The following is a 22,757-nucleotide window of genomic DNA, read 5'->3' as shown; positions in this document are numbered from 1 at the left end:
TCGGTCTCAAAAATAAATAAATAAATAAGTGCACATCAATTTAAAATAAATTCTTTTCTCATACAAGAGCAATTTAATCACAAAATGGTCAAAAATGTAGCCTCTGAACAATGTGCTGTGACTTGCATATTTTAGGTGCTCCAAAACTCTTAGTCGAATGGAACTGATGAAACCTCAAGAGGACTCCTCTGACTTTTAACAAGAATCAGGGATTTGGGAGCTGTCTTTTTGATTCATGACAGTTCACTAAACCAACCACTCGGTGAAATTATATCCATCCCAAATTAGACCAAGAAATAATCAGATGGTGCTGAAATGACCTGCCCTATTAGCTTAGTGTAGCTATTATTGGCTCTTTGCCTTTCTATGCTTTTTAGTCATTCTACATACAAATCAGACTGATGGTGTTATTAACTTTATTAACAGCATCGCTTCCAGCCTATTGCCCTTACCAGACTGTGTAACTGGGCCTGCAGACGTTACCCCCCAGCCTCCGACCATAAATTAAAATGTTCTTTTCTACTAAGCATATTATTTTCCCCAGTGTCACGTCAGCACAATATTAAAGGCTGGTTTTAAAACACTGAAAAGCTGGGGTTCCATGGCTCATGCCTGTAATCCCAGCACTTTGGGAGGCCAAGGCAGGAGGATCACTTAAGACCAGGAGTTCCAGACCAGCCTGGCCAAAAAGGTAAAACCCCATCTCTACCAGAAAAAAATTCAAAAATTATCCTGCCATGGTGGTGCATGCCTATTGTCCCAGCTACTCACGAAGCTGAGGTGGGAGGATCACTTGGGCTGGGTGGCTGAGGCTGCAGTAAGCTGTGATTGCACCGCTGCACTCCAGCCAGGGTGACAAAGAGAGACCTGAAAAAAAAAAAGGAAGGAAGGAAGGAAGGAAGGAAGGAAGGAAGGAAGGAAGGAAGATAAAACACAGCAAAAAGTGAAGTCAGTGGTACTTGGCTTGAGACCGTCTAGGAAACAGACAGGTGCCTTTTAGACCTATTGTTCCAGATCAGAATCAATTCTTCAAACAGAAAAACCTGTTTGCTAACTCCAACCCTTACAGACCCCAGAGAATCCGAATGGACCATAACAGTAGTGAAGTCAGCTGGGCGCAGTGGCTCACGCCTGTAATCCCAGCACTTTTGGGGGGCCAAGGCGGGTGAATCACAAGCTCAGGAGTTCGAGACCAGCCTGACCAACATGGTGAAACCCTGTCTCTAAAAATAGAAAAATTAGCCAGGCGTGGTGGCACACGCCTGTAATCCCAGCTACTCAGGAGGCTGAGGCAGGAGAACTGCTTGAACCCAGGCAGCGGAGGTTGCAGTGAGCTGAGATCACGTCACTGCACTCCAGCCTGGGTCACAGAGCAAGACTCCATCTTAAACAAAAAAAGAAAAGAAAGAAAAACAAAAAACCAGTAGTGAAGTCAATGGTCTCAATGTTCAATGTGTACGCAACTCTCCAGGCAGAAACTTGGCAATTTTAGAACTGACATTAACTCCTTCTGATAGAATCTTCAGCTAAAAATCTTCACTAAATCACACACCACTAATGACATTTTGTAGTGCTAATTCAGCACACTGACCGAAGAAAAGCCAGGCCCAATCTGGAAAATAAAGTTCTGCCAAGCAAACACAGCAAAAAGACTTGCTTTCACAGGCTTGAAGAACAAATATGAATCCAAGAAAATGGATATCCAATTTAGATACAATGTCTATTCATTAAAATGTGTCTTTTAAAGCCCTCCACCTGACAATTACACAGTAAGCCATACATTTGTTTATGCTAACGCTTAAGCTAAAAGTATCGAAATTCTTTTTCTTAAAAAAAAAAAAAAAAACCTATAACTCAGGTTCTCATTAACTGGGACCAGTGCCCGACCAACCAGTTCAAATTAGAAACATATCCTTAACTTTAGTAGGTAGATGCTTAGGAACAGACAGATCCTTCAAAATAGTTACGCTTTCTTACTGAAACGTTCTCATCTTCCTCTTTAACTGGTGAATTCCACAATGATAAGCAATCCTGCATAATAGCTTCAAGAACCATGATGAGACATTCTTAAATACCCACACGATTAGCTTAATTTCTGTCCAGATCAGTTTTCATTCTGAGTACAATCCTATGTCTGAAACCACCAGGGCAGGTCTAGGTTATGACAATACTTGTCACAGGGAGAAGGCATCAAAATGCTGACACAATTATTGCTTGTGATATCTTTGGTTTCTGCAGGTGTTTCTGCGGCACTAAGTCTTTACTGTTAACAGCCTCACTGATCCAAACGCAGAAGACAAATAAATTCCACATGAGTGCCTACTGCCACACTCTAAAACACACGCTTTGTTTAATAGCACTCCTTCCTTTCCTCCTTCACTTCTCTGACAGGCTCCCACATTTTATCTCTGCTCTTTTCATGCCATTTGTTAAAGGTTGATATGGAACCAAAGTGAGTCAATCATTTTTTTTTCTTATACCAACAGGGAGCATCCATGGAAGCCTGGTTTTTGAAGGCAGAGGCAGAATAAAATATTCAAGCCAGGCATAGTGGCTCACGCCTGTAATCCCAACAGTTTGAGAGGCCAAGGCAGGAGGATCACTTGAGGCCAGGAGTTGGAGACCAGCCTGGATAACAGAGCAAGACCCCCAACTCTCCAAAAAAAAAAGAAAAGAAAAAAGAAAAAATTAGCTAGGTGTAGTTGCACACACCTGTAGTCCTACTTACTTGGGAGGCTGAGGTGAGTGGATCGCCTGAGCCCAGGAGTTCAAAGTTACAATGAGCTATGATCACCATTGCACTCCAGCCTACAGTGTGACAGAGTGAGACCCTGTCTCTTAAAAAAATTCACCTCTTTTTGAGATTACAAAATCTCCTCATAGCTACAGCTTAAAAAGCTGGCAACACTCCAGGGCAAATAAAGTGTCCATGTGGGCCATGCATGCATTTGTTGCCAGGGTGCATTTTCCTTGGATGACAAAGGTACTGACGTGGATGAAACTGCAACCCCCAGGATACCCCCTTTGTTCATCACCTGTGCGGACCTCTTCGACAGCACTTCTCACTATGGTCTTCCCAGATCTCCTGTTGGAGACAGATTTCTCCCTGCAGGGGTGGCTCTTCAGAGGGGAACTCCCCTTTCTCACTCCCATCCCTGATGGTGGGGGAACCAGACCTAGCAGATGCTCATGTTCTGCTCTCTGACTGCTACAAACATCCAACATGCTCCCAATGCCAGCCGCATAGCTCCATTGTCACATGGTTGGCAAAACCTGAATGGTGAAGCAACGACGGGACAGAATGTTCATGATTAATCCCAACTGGCCATCCCTCATCTGGCCATTCCCACTCACCAGATCCTCTGACTTTAGGCACTCTTTTGAGCTTATTTCCATTCTCATTCAGGGCAGATGTCTCAACAAGTACCTTAAAGGAAAATTCTGTTAAGCTCCCAGCTAACTAAACACACATCAATACACTCTTTAAGTATGCTTCAAGCTATTCCATAAAAAAACAGAGTCCTTATAGGTAAAACAATTACTACATTAAAGGGACGTTTGGCTGTGTCTGTGTTAAAAAAAAATCAATATTCTGGCTTAAAACAATCAATAAAAGTTTGAAATAGCAGAACACTGGAAAAATCCTAAATATCCATTAATGGAGGACTGGTTAAGTAAGTTACAATCTAAAAATACGACGGAGGCCAGGCGTGGTGGCTCATGCCTGTAATCCCAGCACTTTGGGAGACCAAGGCAGGAGGATTGCTTGAGGACAGGAGTTTGAGACCACCTGTCTTGTTTGAGACAAGGCCTGTTGCTCTTGTCTCGATTCTCCCATGAGGCTGCCTACACTCTTCCTTTCTCTTTTTTTTTTTTTTTTTTTGCCTCAGTTTTGCCACCTGCAATATGGACATGAGTTCCACTGCCCCCCTCCCCCACCACTTCAGATAAAAGCTGCGAGGGAGAGCTCCTGACCTGCCCTGGGACCCCACCAAGTGGGGAAAGCCTTAAGCATGCACGGTCTGTGTGTTTGTTTTCTGCACAGTACTGGCTGGATGGAGAATAATAATGCTCTTCTGCATCTAATCACTAGTCTGCTGGACGCCTAGCAACTGGCCTGCACCTCCTCGGGCCCTTCCTGGAACTGGCACTCCATCCTCATCATCGCAAGACAATGCGTATGTCAGCAATACGTTCTGGAAATGTATCTAAACCATACACACAAAAATGTAATACTAGCATGATTTAACACTGTCCCACGTGCCATACAATTCAGTGCTTCTGAAAAGTCTGCTTAAACATAAAAACTGGATACACAGATCATTTTCACCGTTCAATCAGATACATCTCACAAGCAGCAGCAAAATGACCTCCCTTTCTCCAGTCACTGTTCCCTTCCCTTCACCTGCAGGAACAAATCACCATGTCTCACCTCTTATAAACGCGAGGGTCACAGAGCTAAAGAGATCACCTGTCAGCCACCAGGATGCTTCAGTGCTGGCATCTTTCCTGAGGGTAAATGTCACAGGCAATGATACGGACCATGTTTCTTTACTGGATTTTGAAACAAAAATACCAAGTCCAGCATAATCTAAACTAAGCGGGTCTATTTTCCCTGTATGTTCCCAGCTAGTGGCTGACGGTGCCTTCCCCTTTCCACGGGCCTCACAGTGCGCAGAACAGGAAAGATCAGAGAGTACATTTTAAAAAGGAAAAGATGGAACACAAGTCGTGTCATTGTTCTTCGGCCTAGCATTTGATACGGCATCCAGCAAGTGATATTCAGTCAGTGAGTTCCAATGCCTTGGCCGTGCTTAATTACATAGAAAGATAATCTGGGTTCCTTGAAGAATTCAGGTTGATTAAATTTCTAAATTAAAAAAATACAATGAAAATGTTGGAACATTTTAGGGGAAAAGAATTAGAAGATATACATAGGTTAATCTTCTTAAGCAAAATGCAAAATCCAAAAGTCTCAGCGGAAAGGGGAAAATATTCAAGTCCTACTAATACAATATTAATAAAGAGATAATAGCCCTGTTATGCCAAGGGCTTCCCACTAACACAGCCATGTGCACAATTCCAGGGGCACTCACTGTGCACAGAAATCATGCCCAGCAGAGACAGTCCGGGCCTGCAGATGCGGGGAAGGATACAGACATACAATTCACAGAATGGCCAACGAGCATATTAACTGATGCTCAACACTCACTAGCAGTCGCAAAAATGCTAAACAAAACCTCAGCAAGGCAGGCTTTTTCTCAGCAGGTTGGGAAAAGGTAAAGTTATGTGGGAGAGTTGCTAAGTATAAATTGCTACAACATTTTGGGAAACTAATCTGGCTATACCTGTTAAATTACATTTTAAGAACTCTATTCTATAAAAATAAAAGCATTAGGCTGGGTGCGGTGGTTCACTTCTGCAATCCTACCACTTTGGGAGGTCAAGGCAGGCGGATCACTTGAGGTCAGGAGTTCGAGACCAGCCTTGCCAACATGGCAAAACCCTGTCTCTACTAAAAAGACAAAAATTAGCCGGGCACAGTGGTACACATGTGTAATCCCAGCTACTTGGGAGGTTGAGGAAGGAGAATCACTTGATCCCAGGAGGTGGAGGTTGCAGTGAGCTGAGATCACACCACTGCACTCCAGCCTGGGCAACAGAGGGAGACACCATCTCAAAAAAAAAGAAGAAGAAAAAGTGAAAACCCACAAAAACAACAGAGATTCCTAGTAAAAGTTTAATGGTACATCTGTACCATGGAATGTCATATGGCTACAGAAAAGAATTTATCTAGAGGAATATAAATATCACAACGTATCTAGAGGGATGTAAATATCCCATATGTAAATATCCCAAATGAGGAAAGTAAGCTTAGATAGTCCGTCATTCAGCAGAATACTCTGTAGCAGTTTAACTAACTGATGAGATCTACATGCATTAACAGGGATAAACCTGGAAAACATAATTACAATTGAAAAAAAGGTTACCAAAAGATACAGTATTTCTTCCGTTTATATCAATCTGTAAAACACAAACAGCCACACCAACACTAACCGCTACATTGTTTGGGTATATAATACATACATAGGTAGTGAAAGTACAAAGACACACCATTAGGATACACCCCCCTCTTCGAGTAAAGGTTGCCTCTGGAGAGGAAAGAGGAGGTGCAATGGCTTGAAGGCCAGGTGCAGTGCGGTGGCTCACACTTGTAATCCCAGCACTGTGGGAGGCCGAGACGTGTGGATCACCTGAGCTCAGGAGAGCGAGGCCAGCCTGGCCAACATGGAGAAACCCCATCTCTACTAAAAATACAAAAATTATCTAGGTGTGGTGGTGTGCACCTGTAATCCCAGCTACTCTGGAGGCTAAGGTAGGAGAATGGCTTGAACCTGGGAGGCGGAGGCTGCAGTGAGCCAAGATCACGCCACTGCACTCCAGCCTTGGAGACAGAGTGAGCCTCCGTCTCAAAAATAAAATAAAATAAAATAAAGACATGAAGTATGGCTAGATCCATAACTTTTTTTTTTTCAGAACTCTGAAGCAAAGATGGCAAAATGTTAATTAACATTTGCTCAGTCTGGGTGGTGGGTACATGGTAATCTGTTCACTTATTTTTCTACACTTTTGGGTAAATTTGAAATCTTTCATGATTTTCAAAAAATTAACCAAAGGCATAAAAGATAAAGGTGCCTTCAGGAAACTGCACAGTTGGGAGGACACATATGGAAGGAGACCCTAGGTCCCAGCTCCCTATGCAAAGTCCAGGTTTACATACAGCATCCCAGCACAGCAGTTAACAGCCACACTGTTAAGCCCAGGGAAAGGTACTTATCCCCTCTGAGCCTGTGTCCTCATCTGTGGTGTTACCACAGATAACACACCACAACTCCATGGGGTTATGAAAAGATTCAATGAGAAGATGGAAATTCTACACTTGCTTCTTAGTGTGGTGGGTAAACAGTAACTGCATGGATGAGGCAACAGACCCTACCACAAAACTATTCACAAAACATTACAAGAACTCAGAGGCAAGAGAACTCAACTCTGCCAGCCAAAATCAAGCACCAAACCTTCATGAAGTAGCCACATTTGAGTAATCTTTCAGGAGTGGGAATTTTCAGAGTAAACCTGTCCATGTTTGCAGAGTACAGGACCAACACTGTTAGAACCTAACTAAAGAGGCCCAGGGGTCCTAGGAATGGCTTCTGGATGCTGGCCAGACAGTTTTAATAACTTTACTTAACTCCTGGCTCCATTATTTCTTGGAGCTGACTTCATGGAGGACTTATTGGCCATTCTCATGAGGAGAACACACCACTTAATGGGGTAGAGTTAACCACTAATGACAATGGAAGAAGGGAATAAAGTCCCTGTTCTCATACACTTTGGTGGGGGCAGGGGGAACAAGACCCAGAAAACACTGAACAAATAAAAACAAGTCACTTCAGAACAGAGAGTGAAATTTGGTGGTATCCTAAGAAGTTGGAGCCACAGCTGGCGTTAGCAGACAGAGCTGGGAGAGACAGGGCCTGGCCTGGCTGCGCACAGATGTGCAAAGGACCCTGCGGTGGGTGGGCAACTGAGAGCAGGCAGAGTCCCCACGGGAAAAGCAAGCAGGCGCATACGATGGGCTGTAGCAGGGACTGTGCCTCACTTCCTGTGTCTCAGCTTATCTTAACATCTTTCCAGCTAACAGGACCCTGACGTCACCAGGGCAGCAATGTGGCCAGCGGCTAGCTGCTCACCAAACCTGTTTCCTTCTCTTCCCAGGCACAGAGCTAGACTCTAGTTCCCAACCTTGCAGTTATCTGTGGCCACAAGACTGGGCTCTGCCAATGAAGCCTAAATGAATGACATGGGCACTTCCAGGCTGGCCCACAAACACCTCTCACACATGACTCGCCATTCTAGTTCACCGCCTGCTTGCTAAATGCAGAGGACTCCAAGGTTCTGGAGGAGGACAGTCCACAAGATACAAGGAGCTCAGGTCTCAGTCCCCATATGGAAGACCTACTGCCAACCAGCAACATTCGCACTGATCCCTGACGAGAGAAAAATAATGGCTTATTTTGTTAAGCTATTAAAATGTGGAGGTTTGGCCAGGCGCTGTGGCTCATGTCTGTAATCTCAGCACTTTGGGAGGCCGAGGTGGGCAGATCACTGAGGTCAAGAGTTCGAGACCAGTCTGGCCAGCATGGTGAAAGCCCATCTCTACTAAAAATACAAAAATTAGCTGGGCGTGGTGGCACATGCATGTAATTCCAGCTACTCAGGAGGCTGAGACAGGAGAATTGCTTGAACCCAGGAGGTGGAGGTAGCAGTGAGCCGAGATCGTGCCACTGCACTCCAGCCTGGGCGACAGAGCAAGACTCCGTCTAAAAGAAAATTAGCTGGGTCTGGTGGTGGGTGCCTATAATCCCAGCTACTGGGGAGGCTGAGGCAGGAGAATCACTTGAACCTGGGAGGCGGAGGTTGCAGTGAGCCGAGATTGCGCCACTGCACTCCAACCTGGGTGACAGAGCGAGACTCCATGATTGATACATTGATTGACTGATAGACAGATAGATAGATAGACAGATAGATAGATAGATAGACAGATAGATAGATAGATAGATGTGGAGGTTTGTTTGTTACAAGAGCTAACATTGGCCTGTTGCACCAAATTACAAAAGTACAGTCCCCAAAATTCCCTTTCAGCTGGAGGTAGCCAATGACACTCCAGGCAACTTATCCCGTGAAGCTTGCAGAAGAACTCTTGCAAAGGGGTTGATTCAGCTATCAGGCAGATTCTTTTGTCCCTTGCCCAGGAGACGTCCTGGAATAAGAATGTGATGGCTGGATCTCCAGCAATCAGCTTGTGACCTTGAGGATGACGTTTCTTTCTAATGGTGATGGAACAGAAATAAACAGAAAGAACCTAGGGTTTCTTGTATCTTTACAGAGCCACCATACTAGCCTTGCAGACCCTATTTTTAAAATTATTTTACATGAGATGATAATAAACCCACAATCTATTTATGCCATGTCAGAACACTAACTGTTCCTACCAATTTTTCTGTTACTATCAGCCAATTTTCCCTCTTTAGTAATAAAGTGACCTGGGTAGACTGGAGGGCCTGCGTCATTTTCAAGAGTAGAGGGAGGCAGGGTGGATCATGATAACACAGAGCCATTATAATAATGGCACTAAAGACTCAAAAGGGACAAAAGCTTAATACCTAACACTTTCCGTAAAGCAGAAATAGTATCTACACTGTGACTGGAAAGCAAACAGATCGGAAGTTTATGGCAGGAAAATTATCCTTTAAAAGGATAAACTCATGATTGGGTCAGTCTGCAAAGGAGGACAGAATCACTTTATGGAATGATAACCAGGAGATGGTACTTGGAGTGACTTATGAGCCACTTCCTTCCATTCAAATAATCTCACAGCCAGATAAACAATGCAAGGGAAAGATGATTCAGTGCAGAGAAACACCAACCACTGCCAATAAACAAAGTGGTGCCGTCAGAAAGGGCAGTCTTTTAACACTGTTTTAATTTTTGTGGGTACACAGTAGGTGTATATATTTATGGGGTAAATGAGATGTTTTGATACAGCATGCAATGCGTAATAATCCCATCATGGAGAATGGGGTACCCATCCCCTCAAGCAATTATCCTTTGTGTTACAAACAATGCAATTATAGTCTTTTATTTTAAAATGTACAATTATTATTGACTTATAGTCACCCTGTGGTGCTATCAAACAGTCTTATTCTATTTTTTGTACCAATTAACCATCCCCACTTCCTACCCACCCCCCTCCCCAACCTTTCGCAGTCTCTAGAAGCCATTCTTCTACTCTCTATCTCCGTGAGTTCGACTGTTTTGCTTTTTAGATCCCACAAATAGGTGAGAACATGCGATGTTTGTCTTTCTGTGCCTGGCTTATTTCACTTAACACGATGATCTCCAGTTCCATCCATGTTGTTGAAAATGACAGGATCGTATTCTTTTTATGGCTGAATAGTACTCCATTGTGTATAGGTACCAGGTTTTCGTTATCCATCCATCTACTGATAGACACTTAAGTTACTTCCAAATCTTGGCTACTGCAAACAGTGCTGCAACTAACACAGGAATGCAAATATCTCTTTGATACACTGATTTCCAGAAAGGTCAATCTTGAAAATAAAAAGATAGGCCGGGCACGGTGGCTCACGCCTGTAATCCCAGCACTTTGGGAGGCCGAGGCGGACGGATCACGAGGTCAGGAGATCGAGACCATCCCGGCTAAAACGGTGAAACCCCGTCTCTACTAAAAATACAAAAAATTAGCCAGGCGTAGTGGCGGGCGCCTGTAGTCCCAGCTACTTGGGAGGCTGAGGCAGGAGAATGGCGTGAACCCAGGAGGCGGAGCTTGCAGTGAGCCGAGATCCCGCCACTGCACTCCAGCCTGGGCGACAGAGCGAGACTCCGTCTCAAAAAAAAAAAAAAGAAAATAAAAAGATAAACAGGACTCTTGTGGCCAAGTGGTCAATATGTATCTTTTGAATAAAGGAATGGAGACAAAGTACCAAATTAAGAAAATTATACATTGTAAATTATAGTTTCCAATTATAAATTTTTCTAATTACAAATAAAAAAATAAGATTTTTCTGTTATAGGAATGATTTAATTGCTCAATAACCTGCCCAGGGAGAGGGCTGTCAACTGGAAATGATGGGCTGGGCTGGCCAAAGCTCTCCCCTGTGCAGTATTTCTAATAAGCCTTTATTGGGAAGAGCCGGGTAAGGGACCTGTTAGAAATTTACTATGAGAGAATTCTCTGATTCCTAGATTATAAATCTTTGTAATTAGAGACAGAAAATCTCCTTTGACTTTACTGTCAATTCCCTAGCCTCATCATTTAGCAGTTATTTGCTGTACCAACCACCCAGGTAGGAAGACCAGCAAAAGCAATTTTTCAGTTTGTGACCAACCCAGAGAGAACATGATGAGAACATTATTGCTTAGAAAACAGAGACAGGCCGGGCGATGTCAGGGGACAGCAGTTTTAAGTCTTATTCCTCAGTTATAATTAGTCTGCATTTTGTACTTCTCATTGGAGCACGCAAGTTAGGCCTCGAAGGAGTGAGCACCATCCCACGCTCTTTCTGTGCAAAATGGGAGGCGTGGTTTGGATCCGTTCCACTGTGATGATTCCCTGGAGTCTCTCCTGCTCCGTGGCAGTTCATGATGGTACACGCTGTAATCATTATGTTTATCATCAGTAACTTGGTTCCAAATAATTGGACTTTGTTCACAGACAGTATGTTTAAGCAAATATGATGCACACAGTAAGGTCCAGGCACTAGAACCTTCTGACGTTGGTAATTTCCACGTGCCCCTGGCAACCATTATCTCATCTCAGGACAGGGCAGAAGGGGGATGAATGCACTCTGGGAAGCCTCTTGGAGCCAGCCTTGCTGTGTGCCTAACTAGGTCCTTAATATATACTACGTATTTCTGAAGACAAACAAGTTATCAGCATATCATCATCAAACTGCGATGGTCTCTCCATGAAAACTCAAAGCAAGAATACTGATGTGAATAAAAACTCTGTGAAGGCATATGCTGCCTGGTTTATTTTCCACAGGAGAAGCCTCACATGTAGGGTCCTTGAAGCCTGTGTTCAAATTAATTGTCTTATCCTGGACAATCTCAACTTTTTTTTTTTTTTTTAAGCAGAGTCTCACCCTGTCTTCCAGGCTAGAGTGCAGTGGCACAATCTTGGCTCACTGCAACCTTCACCTCCCAGAGTTCAAACAATTCTCCTGCCTCAGCCTCCTGAGTAGCTGGGATTACAGGCGCCCGCCATCACACTCGGCTAATTTTTGTATTTTTAGTAGAGACAGGGTTTCACCATGTTGGCCAGGCTGGTCTCGAACTCCTGACCTCAAGTAATTCTCCAACGTCAGCCTCCCAAAGTGCTGGGATTACAGGCGTGAGCCACCACACCCAGCCTAATCTCAACTTCTGATTACCTCAGTCTCTAATTTTAATGATGGAACAGAAAGGAAGGGGTCTGAAAAAGTAATCTGCAAAACTAGTTCTTGGCAGAAACTAGGGGGAACCGCTGCCTCCCCAGACCCCGAGGCCACGGGAAGACCTTCCTGGAATCCCCGTCAATTCTCCAAGATCCCACAAAACATTCCTATAACAGGATTTTCGTACTTCTCCATTGGTTAGACTGCACAAACCAAAACTATTAGCATGTCAATTACCAAGCTGTCTTTTCCCACCAGAATATCTACCATGTTGAATGGCAAGATCACCAACTGTCAGACCTGGATGATGCAGAGATCATCAAGTTCAACCACCTCATTTCCCAGAAAAGGAAACTGAGGCCCAGAAAGGAAGAATGGCTTGCCTAAGACCCAGTTGCTTACAACACTGAGATAATTCAGTCCTGTGCTTTCCCCAAACAAGATATTCATGTCCATCTGAGAGTTCAGCCTGCCTAGGGCCCCCCACTCGCAGCCTAAAGGAAGCAGCCTCACTGTGTTCCCGTGTTGATGCCAACAGCCTCCGGGTTCAACGGGGGCAGTGCTGAAGAATGCGTGGCCTTGGGAGCCGGCCAGACCTTGATCCAAATCCCAACACCAGAGCTGTAGCTTCCCCTTACACAGAACAGGGATACTATTCCGTCCCTTAGAATCACAATAAACATTGTATGCTTACGTATATCACAAGCACATCATCAAGCTTCGTACAGGGTTGCCAGTTGGCTAAATGTCTTTTTCATTAGTTTATAAGAGAAAATTCACATTTGTTTCCATTTCCAAAGCCTTACCTCCACAAAGCACAGGACAAGAGATCCACATTCATCTCAGTGTAATATGGGGAAAAAGGGCTTCTTAACTATTCTTGCCAAGATTTAATCATATTCATCCTGAAAGGCTCATGGGTATCCAGCCCTGGAAAAAAATCATTACAATATATATTGCCTTAAGGGCTTTCTTCACGACTTTTCCCAGCACTCGTATTTTTAAATTACGTTTGCTTAAAAGAGACTTTCTTGCTCAGCCACCACGAGCAAAATTTGTGTGTGACCCCGTACATGGAGTAAGGGACTACCCGGCACTGTGTGGCTCGTCTCTATGACCTTAGAAAACAGACTCACAGACCCACTACTAAACGCTCATGAGCACCAGCACATATGTCATCTAAATCAAGCAAACTCATGGTCGATATAAATCATGCAATCCAGAAATACAGATTCATAAGGAGGGTAGCCCCTTTGTCCCAATTTGCCAGAACAATCCCAGTATAATTATTCCTAGTGCCGCTCTGCACCCAGAAAAGTGTACCAATGTGGACGAGACACTCCATGGTGATTACACATACCATTCGTATATGGCAGGTACCCACAGGTAAGACGTCCTCAGTAAAGAAGAATCCATGAACCCTGACCCCAGTGTGCCAACCTGGTTGGGCAGGTGGTCCACCCTCTCTTGAGTATTTGTTCCCTCCTATGAAAAAACTGAGAATTATGCTACCTACTTTGCAGGGTGATTTTAACATCACGGATGTTCCCCGCGGGGTGCTTGGGACATCTGTGCCTTACAAATGCAGCTATGACGATGAGGGTGAAGATGAGAGAGCAAGCACAGTGGCTCACACCTGTAATCTCAGCACTTTGGGAGACCAAGACGGGTGGATTGCTTGAGCCCAGGAGTTCAAGACCAGCCTGGGCAACAAGGTGAGACACTATCAAGTCCAGGAGTTCAAGACCAGCCTGGGCAACAAGGTGAGACACTATCAAGTCCAGGAGTTCAAGACCAGCCTGGGCAACAAGGTGAGACACTATCTCTACAAAAAATAAGAAAATTAGCCAGGTGTAACGGCATGCACCTGTAGTCCCAGCTACTCAGGAGGCTGAAGCAGGAGGATTGCTTGACCCTAGGAGTTTGAGGCTGCAATGAGCCATGATCATATCACTGCAATCCAGCCGGGGTGACAGAAAGGAACCCTGACTCCAAAAAGAAAAAAAAAAAAAAAAGATGAGGATTTCCTCACTTTACCTCTCTAGAGCTGTTTCCTTATCTATAACATCTGACACTCACAAATCATTTTACCTTTGACAAGGTGCCTTCCTACCCATGAGGGTGTGATTTTTAAAATCAGGAGGTGGGCTTAGACCCCGGGAGTCTCTTCCAGCTCTAAGCACCTATGATTCTACTATTCCAATATTTGAATATGTGGGTACGTTTGTAAATGTACCACACCTTCCAGAAAAGACAGCAGCAATCACTGAAATCACGCTTGTCTGTACTATAGAATGCTACTGGCACCTCTTCTGCAAGTCACCTGGCTTTTCTCAGATTTCCTACATGCAGAATGAATATAATTCTGACTTTAGGATGATCAATGTGAGGCACTAACCAGGCACTTCATTCTGAAAGTGATTTGTACATTTATCCCTATGGCAATTTTCTAGCTAGCATGTGCTAATATGTGATAGTCAAGTGTTAAGACATTAACATGCTTCTTCTTATTGTATAATTGTAGTTATGTCTGTGGACTTTTGAGCCATACAGCCTAGATCATTCCTTGACTAACTAGCTATGTGACCTTGGCAAATTACTTAATTCCTCCAAGGAGGTAACATCATCTCTAAAATGGGACTAACACTACCCACCTAATAGGGTTATTGCAATGATTAAATGGGTTACTATAAACATAATGCTCAGAACAGTGTCTGGCCCTTAGTAAGAATTGGATAACTGTTATTTGACTCGTTGTTGCTATTAATGGCCAAATAAAAAAGTTTTTAAAAATCAAATGCCAAAAAAATATTATGCCACTATTTGTTCTAAATATAGGGGACATACAACTTGCAGGACTGGCCAAGATGAAGCAAGCCCACTAACCCATGCCGCCCACTAATTACAGGTTAAATTTCTGCACAGAATACAAAAACCAACTATTTGAGGTTCTGCAAAGAAAACAGTATCAGAGAGATTGACAGTGAAGTCGAAAGTTGAAGAAGTATCCACTGGTAAGTTTCCTGGATTAATTTTTCCTCCTTTATCTCTTGACTTTGATCCAAAAGCAAGTCAAAACTGGGCGCGGTGGCTCACGCCTGTAATCCCAGCAATTCGGGAAGCCGAGGCAGGCGGATCATTTGAGGTCAGGAGTTGGAGACCTCAACACCAGCCAGACCAACATGGTGAAACCCTGTCTCTACTAAAAATACAACAACAACAAAAAAAAATTAGCCGGGCGTGGTGGCGCATGCCTATAGTCCCAGTTACTCAGGAGGCTGTGGCAAGAGAATCACTTGAACCTGGGAGGCGGAGGTTGCAGTGAGCCAAGATCACACCACTGCACTCCAGCCTGGGCAACAGAGCGACACTCCCTCTCAAAAAAAAAAAAAAAAAAAAAAGCAAGTCAAGTCAAGGAACCGCACCCTGGAAGAAGACACCAAAAATTCCAAGAAAAATCCCCCTTTTCTGGCCAGAGGACTGAGACAAGCAGTCCCTAAAAGTGAAGAGTCAGATGGAAGGGCCCAGGAAATTTTTTTCTTTTTTTCTCTCTTACTTTCTACCTGCCCTGCTCTAGGGCCAGCCCAGTCATGAGGTTACACTGCTACTGGGCAATATAAGCCCCTAAAATCCCAAGAAATAACCCTTCTACCTGGCCAAAGAAAGTGGGAATAAAAGGGTTCTATGGTCTACAGAGTGTAAGGGAGATTTGATTTATTTTTTATTTTTTTGAGAAATGGGGTCTTGCTACATTGCCTAGGCTGCTCTCAAACTCCTGGTTCAGTCGATCCTCCCATCTCGGCCTTCTGAGTAGCTGGGACTAGAGGCAAGGTTCTGATTTTTTTTTTTTTTTTGAGATAGGGTTTTGCTCAATGATATGATCACAGCTCACTGCAGCCTCAACCTCCCAGGCTCAATTGATCCTCCTGCCTCAGCCTGCCAAGTAGCTGGGACTACAGGCGTGCACCACCACACCCGGCTAATTTTTGTATTTTTAGTAAAGATGGGGCTTCGCCACATTGCCCAGGCTGGTCTTGAACTCCTGGGCTCAGGCGATCCACCTACCTCAGCCTCCCAAAGTGCTGGGATTACAGGCTTGAGCCACCACACCCAGCCTCTGATTATTTTTATCTTCCTTTTCTCTTGTTTTGCTCTGAGGCCAGACCCAGTTATGAAGAACTGCAAAATAGCAAAATCACGTATGTGGTGTGGGAGGGTAAAGCTCTGAGACACATCCATCTTCTGACAAGACACCTGGGAAAAAGCACCCCTGAGATCAAGGGTGTGAAAGAAATCCCAGAGAGAAGAGAGTTGAAAAAAAGAGATCCTATAAATCTGTGTATGCATCAGCACAAGTCCCGGCTCACTCAGGAAATGCTCATGCGTAAAACACACCCAAAGAAACATGGCTTCGAGAATTAAACTACAACTTGAAGAACCACGTAAGTCCCATACTAACTCCTGAAAAGTGTGTATGTGGGGCAGATACAAACAGCATAGCAAAGGCTTTGAAAACTTAACTGATACTGTTACCACTACTCACAAAAGACAGGACAGACTTGCCCTCTGAGCCTGATTTGCTTGGCTGTCTGCTTTTTAAAGAAAAGAAAAGGAAAGAAATTTCAACCTTTTCCAGCAGATTTTAACAGGATTCAGAATCTCACAACATAATGTTCAAAATACATAGGACATAGGGCCGGGTGCGGCGGCTCACACCTGTAATCCCAGCACTTTGGGAGGCCACAGCAGGCGGATCACTGGAGGTCAGGAAGGAATTTGAGACCAGCTTGGCCAACATGGTAAAACCCCTTCTCTACTAAAAATACAAAAATCAGTCATGATGGCAAGCACCTGTAATCCCAGCTACTTGGGAGGTTGAGGCAAGAGAATTGCCTGAACCTGAGAGGTGGAGGTTGTACTGAGCGGAGATCACGCCACTACATTCCAGTTTGGGCAACAGAGCAAGACCTTATCTCAAAAAAACAAAAAAGTACACAGGATATAATCCAAAATTATTCATCATACTAAACAAATAGTTAAAACACAATCAATAGATGCCAACCCCCAGACAATTCAGATGTTGGAATTATCAGACACAACTTTAAAGCAGCTCCCTAAGTAAGTGGGAACACTGTTGAAATGAATGAAAAGACAGACATTTTTAGAAGTAAAAATTTTGGAAAAAATGTGAATTTTAGACTTGAAACACAGAATAATTGAAATTTTTTTAAAAATTCACTAGATGAGTAAAAATAACAAAACGTAGATGACAACAAAATGACTCAAACTGGAAGAGAGAATGATCTTGTAGAGATAATAAAATTGAGAATAGGTGAAAAGAGCTTAAAGATACCTGGGACAATATCAAAAGATCTAATATTCATGTCACTGCAGTCAAACAATGAGTGAAGAAAGAGAAAGAGATTGGTACAGAAAAAAAATATTGAAAGAAAGAATGGCTGAAAACTTCCCATGTATGGCGAAAGACATTAGGTACTGATTACAGAAGTTCATCAAATCCCAAGCAAAATAAACTCAAAGAAAAGAATACCCACACAACAATCAAACTGCCAAAAATCAAAAATAAAGAAAAACAATCTTGAGACTAGCCGGAGAAAATCAACACATGACCCATCTACAGGAAAATGTGACGAGAATGAGTCCAATTTCTCATCATGAATGATGGAAGTCAGAAGACAATGGAAAAAAATCCTTAAAGATTTTAAATTCTATCCAATGAAAGTCTATATCCAATAAAATACCATTTAGAAATAAAGGGGAAATAAAGACATTCTCAGTGAAGGAAAAAAGAGACAGAAAAAAATACTTTATCAGCAGAAAATGTTCTCTAAAATAAATGCTAAAGGAAATGCTTCAGGTGGAAGGAAAATGATGGCAAAAGAAAACCTGGAACTTTAAGAATAAAGAGAGAGCTAAAGAAATGATAAATATCTGGATAAATATGACAAATGATTTGTCTCTGCTTAACTTCTTCATAATTAGAATGACTGTTGAAAGCAAAAATTAAAATGATTTTTTTTTTTTGAGATGGAGTCTCACTCTGTCGCCCAGGCTGGAGTGCAGTGGTGCCATCTTGGCTCACTGCAAGCTCTGCCTCCTGGGTTCACGCCATTCTCCTGCCTCAGCCTCCTGAGTAGCTGGGACCACAGGTACCCGCCATCACACTCAGCTAATTTTTTGTATTTTTAGTAGAGACGGGTTTTCACCGTGTTAGCCAGGATGGTCTCGGTCTCCTGACCTCGTGATCCGCCCGCCTCAGCCTCCCAAAGTACTGGGATTACAGGCGTGCGCCACCGCGCCTGGTCAAAATGATGTTTTTATGTATGTAGATGTAATAAATATAAAAACTATGAAGAGGAAACACTAAACAAGTCTATTTGGTTATAGGACTTTTAGATTTTCTTCAGGTGATAAAATGCTACCTTAAAGTAGGCTGTGAATGGTAGGTATGTATATTATAAATCCTGGCCAGGTGCAGTGGCTCACGCCTGTAATTCCAGCACTTTGGGAGGCTGAGATGGGCGGATTACGATCTCAGGAGATCAAGACCATCCTGGCTAACAACGTGAAACCCTGTCTCTACTAAAAAATACAAAAAATTACGATGTCAGGAGATCAAGACCATCCTGGCTAACAACGTGAAACCCTGTCTCTACTAAAATATACAAAAAATTAGCCAGGCGTGGTGGTGGGTGCCTGTAGTCCCAGCTACTCAGGAGGCTGAGGCAGGAGAATGGTGTGAACCCGGGAAGCAGAGCTTGCAGTGAGCCGAGATCGCGCCAAGCCTGGGCAACAGAGCGAGACTCCATCTCAAAAAAATAAATAAATAAATAAATAAATAATCCCTACAAAACACACACACATAAACACCACGAAAGAAAGAGTCAGTAAAGACTCAGTAGAGATAAAGTTTAAATTGGATATGAAATATATCATATACCTCTCCCGCTCCCTCTCCCTCTCCCTCTCCCCACGGTCTCCCTCTCCCTCTCTTTCCACGGTCTCCCTCTGATGCCCAGCCAAAGCTGGACTGTACTGCTGCCATCTCGGCTCACTGCAACCTCCCTGCCTGATTCTCCTGCCTCAGCCTGCCGAGTGCCTGCGATTGCAGGCGTGATCCGCCACGCCTGACTGGTTTTCGTATTTTTTTGGTGGAGACGGGGTTTCGCTGTGTTGGCCGGGCTGGTCTCCAGCTCCTAACTGCGAGTGATCCGCCAGCCTCGGCCTCCCGAGGTGCCGGGATTGCAGACGGAGTCTCATTCACTCAGTGCTCAATGGTGCCCAGGCTGGAGTGCAGTGGCCTGATCTCGGCTGGCTACAACCTCCACCTCCCAGCCGCCTGCCTTGGCCTCCCAAAGTGCCGAGATTGCAGCCTCTGCCCGGCCACCACCCTGTCTGGGAAATGAGGAGCGTCTCTGCCTGGCCGCCCATCGTCTGAGAAGTGAGGAGCCCCTCTGCCCGGCCACCCAGTCTGGGAAGTGAGGAGCGCCTCTTCCCGGCCGCCCATCATCTGAAATGTGGGGAGCACCTCTGCCCCACCGCCCCGTCTGGGATGTGAGGAGCGCCTCTGCCCAGCCGCGACCCCGTCTGGGAGGTGAGGAGCGTCTCTGCCCAGCCGCCCCGTCTGAGAAGTGAGGAGCCCCTCCACCCGGCAGCCGCCCCGACTGAGAAGTGAGGAGCGTCTCCGCCCGGCAGCCACCCCGTCTGGGAAGTGAGGAGCGTCTCCGCCCGGCAGCCACCCCATCTGGGAGGGAGATGGGGATCAGCCCCCACCAGGCCAGCCGCCCCGTCTGGGAGGCAGGTGGGGGGTCAGCCCCCGCCCGGCCAGCCGCCCCGTCCGGGAGGGAGGTGGGGGGTCAGCCCCCGCCCGGCCAGCCGCCCTGTCCGGGAGGGAGGTGGGGGGCGCCTCCGCCCGGCCAGCCGCCCCGTCTGGGAGGTGGTGGGCGCCTCTGCCCGGCCGCCCCTTCTGGGAAGTGAGGAGCCCCTCTGCCCGGCCACCACCCCGTCTGGGAGGTGTACCCAACAGCTCATTGAGAACGGGCCATGATGACAATGGCGGTTTTGTGGAATAGAAAAGGGGGAAAGGTGGGGAAAATATTGAGCAATCAGATGGTTGCTGTGTCTGTGTGGAAAGAAGTGGACATGGGAGACTTTTCATTTTGTTCTGTACTAAGAAAGATTCTTCTGCCTTGGGATCCTGTTGATCTATGACCTTGCCCCCAACCCTGTGCTCTCTGAAACATGTGCTGTGTCCACTCAGGGTTAAATGGATTAAGGGCGGTGCAAGATGTGCTTTGTTAAAAAGATGCTTGAAGGCAGCATGCTCGTTAAGAGTCATCACCACTCCCTAATCTTAAGTACCCAGGGACACAAACACTGCGGAGGGCCGCAGGGTCCTCTGTCTAGGAAAACCAGAGACCTTTGTTCACTTGTTTGTCTGCTGACCTTCCCTCCACTATTGTCCTGTGACCCTGCCAAATCCCCCTCTGCGAGAAACACCCAAGAATGATCAATAAAAAAAAAAAAAAAGAAAAAAAAAGGAAATATATCATATAACACAAAAGAAGGCAGGAAAGGGTGAAGACAGGAACAAAAACCAGAAGAGATCAACGCAAAGCAAATAATAAAATAGTAGGCCCACTATTTACTCTAATAATAATTAGAGTAAATGTAAATGGCTCAAATACATCAATAAAAAGATACAGATTATTAGACTGGATTTCCAAAAGCTAGTTCAAATATATGCTATCTATAAGAAACACCTATAATGATATATATATAAGGTCAGTTAAAAGGATGGGAGAAGAAGTATCATGCATACTAACCAAAAGAAAAATGAATATAAATAGCAAACAAAGTAAACTTCAGAACAAGAACATCCATGAAAAAGAGGATTGTCATATAATGATAAAAGAATAAATTCACCACAAAGAAGTAACAATATTAAATGTGTACCTATCTAAAAACAGGGCTTCAAAATATGTGAGGCAATAACTGAAAGAAAAATAGGACAAATCCAACATTATACTTGGATGGTTATTTCAACACCCCTTTCTTGGTAACAAATAGAACAAGCAGACAGAAAATTGGCGGGGATACAGAAGTCCTGCATGATACTATTAAATGTTTTTACCTAATTTACACTCTACTCACTAATGGCAGAACACAAAGTCTTTTTAAGCACACATGGAACATTCAACAAGATATACTACATATATAAATCAAACTTTATCATAAAACAAACTTTAAATTAAAAAAAATCACAAAGTATGTTATCTGACTGTAATTTACTTAAGCCAGAAATCAATATCAGATTATGTAGATTATTCTCAAATATGTGGAAAGCAAACAACTCACTTCTAAATAGTCCAAAAGTCAAAGACAGGCAAGTTAGAAAACATCTTGAATTAACTGAAATAAAAATACAAAGTACCAAAAATTTGTGGAATATAGCTTGGAGAGAAATGTATGACATTAAGTGCTTATATGAGAAATAAGAAAGATCTAAAATCAAACATATAACATTTCACTTCAAGAAACTAGAAAAAGAAGAGCAAATTTAACCCAAATTTGGCAGAAGGAAAGAACATATAAGGATAAGAACAGGAATCAATGAAATTGAAAACAGAAAAACAATAAAGCAAATCAATCAAACTATAAGCTGTCTCTTTTAAAAGATATAGAAAACTGATAAACCTCTAGCCAAGCTGATTTTAAAAAGAGAACACAAATTACCAATCTTAAGAATGAATAAAGCTCTCCCCCTCCCCCTCCCCCTCCCCCTCCCTCTCCCTCTCCCCACGGTCTCCTTCCACGGTCTCCCTCTGATGCCGAGCCAAAGCTGGACGGTACTGCTGCCATCTCGGCTCACTGCAACCTCCCTGCCTGATTCTCCTGCCTCAGCCTGCCGAGTGCCTGCGATTGCAGGCGCGCGCTGCCACGCCTGACTGGTTTTCGTTTTTTTTTGGTGGAGACTGGGTTTTGCTGTGTTGGCCGGGCTGGTCTCCAGCTCCTAACCGCGAGTGATCCGCCAGCCTCGGCCTCCCGAGGTGCCGGGATTGCAGACGGAGTCTCGTTCACTCAGTGCTCAATGGTGCCCAGGCTGGAGTGCAGTGGCGTGATCTCAGCTCACTACAACCTACACCTCCCAGCCGCCTGCCTTGGCCTCCCAAAGAGCCGAGATTGCAGCCTCTGCCCGGCCGCCACCCCGTCTGGGAAGTGAGGAGCGTCTCTGCCTGGCCGCCCATCGTCTGGGAGGTGAGGAGCCCCTCTGCCTGGCTGCCCAGTCTGGAAAGTGAGGAGCGTCTCTGCCCAGCCGCCATCCCATCTAAGAAGTGAGGAGCGTCTCTGCCCGGCCGCCATCCCAACTAGGAAGTGAGGAGCATCTCTGCCTGACCCGCCCATCGTCTGAGTGGGGAGCGCCTCTGCCCCGCCGCCCTGTCTAGGATGTGAGGAGCGCCTCTGCTGGGCCGCAACCCTGTCTGGGAGGTGAGGAGCGTCTCTGCCCGGCCACCCCGTCTGAGAAGTGAGGAAACCCTCTGCCTGGCAACCGCCCCGTCTGAGAAGTGGGGAGCCCCTCCGTCCGGCAGCCACCCCATCTGGGAAGTGAGGAGCCTCTCCGCCCGGCAGCCACCCCGTCCGGGAGGGAGGTGGGGGGGGGTCAGCCCCCCACCCGGCCAGCCGCCCCGTCCGGGAGGTGAGGGGCTCCTCTGCCCGGCC

At 44.9% G+C, this 22,757-nt stretch overlaps 1 protein-coding gene across 7 annotated transcripts in view, besides 1 other annotated feature; it reads right to left on the bottom strand.

Moving 5' to 3' along the window:
* Nucleotides 1-22,757, bottom strand: part of CAMK1D (calcium/calmodulin dependent protein kinase ID) — a 485,999-nt gene that overhangs the window by 292,777 nt on the left and 170,465 nt on the right. The gene's annotated exons all lie outside the window — the stretch shown is intronic.
* Nucleotides 2,185-2,234: a silencer, noted in NCBI's record as "silent region_2146". NCBI's record gives its function as "represses an Ori minimal core promoter by ATAC-STARR-seq in GM12878 lymphoblastoid cells {active_cell/tissue: GM12878}" and the evidence as "EXISTENCE:reporter gene assay evidence [ECO:0000049][PMID:35858748]".

Source organism: Homo sapiens, chromosome 10, assembly GCF_000001405.40.
Source record: "Homo sapiens chromosome 10, GRCh38.p14 Primary Assembly".
Classification (NCBI taxonomy): domain Eukaryota; kingdom Metazoa; phylum Chordata; class Mammalia; order Primates; family Hominidae; genus Homo; species Homo sapiens.
Note: the sequence above shows the minus strand (reverse complement) of the source record. Positions and strands in the feature narration are given on the sequence as shown.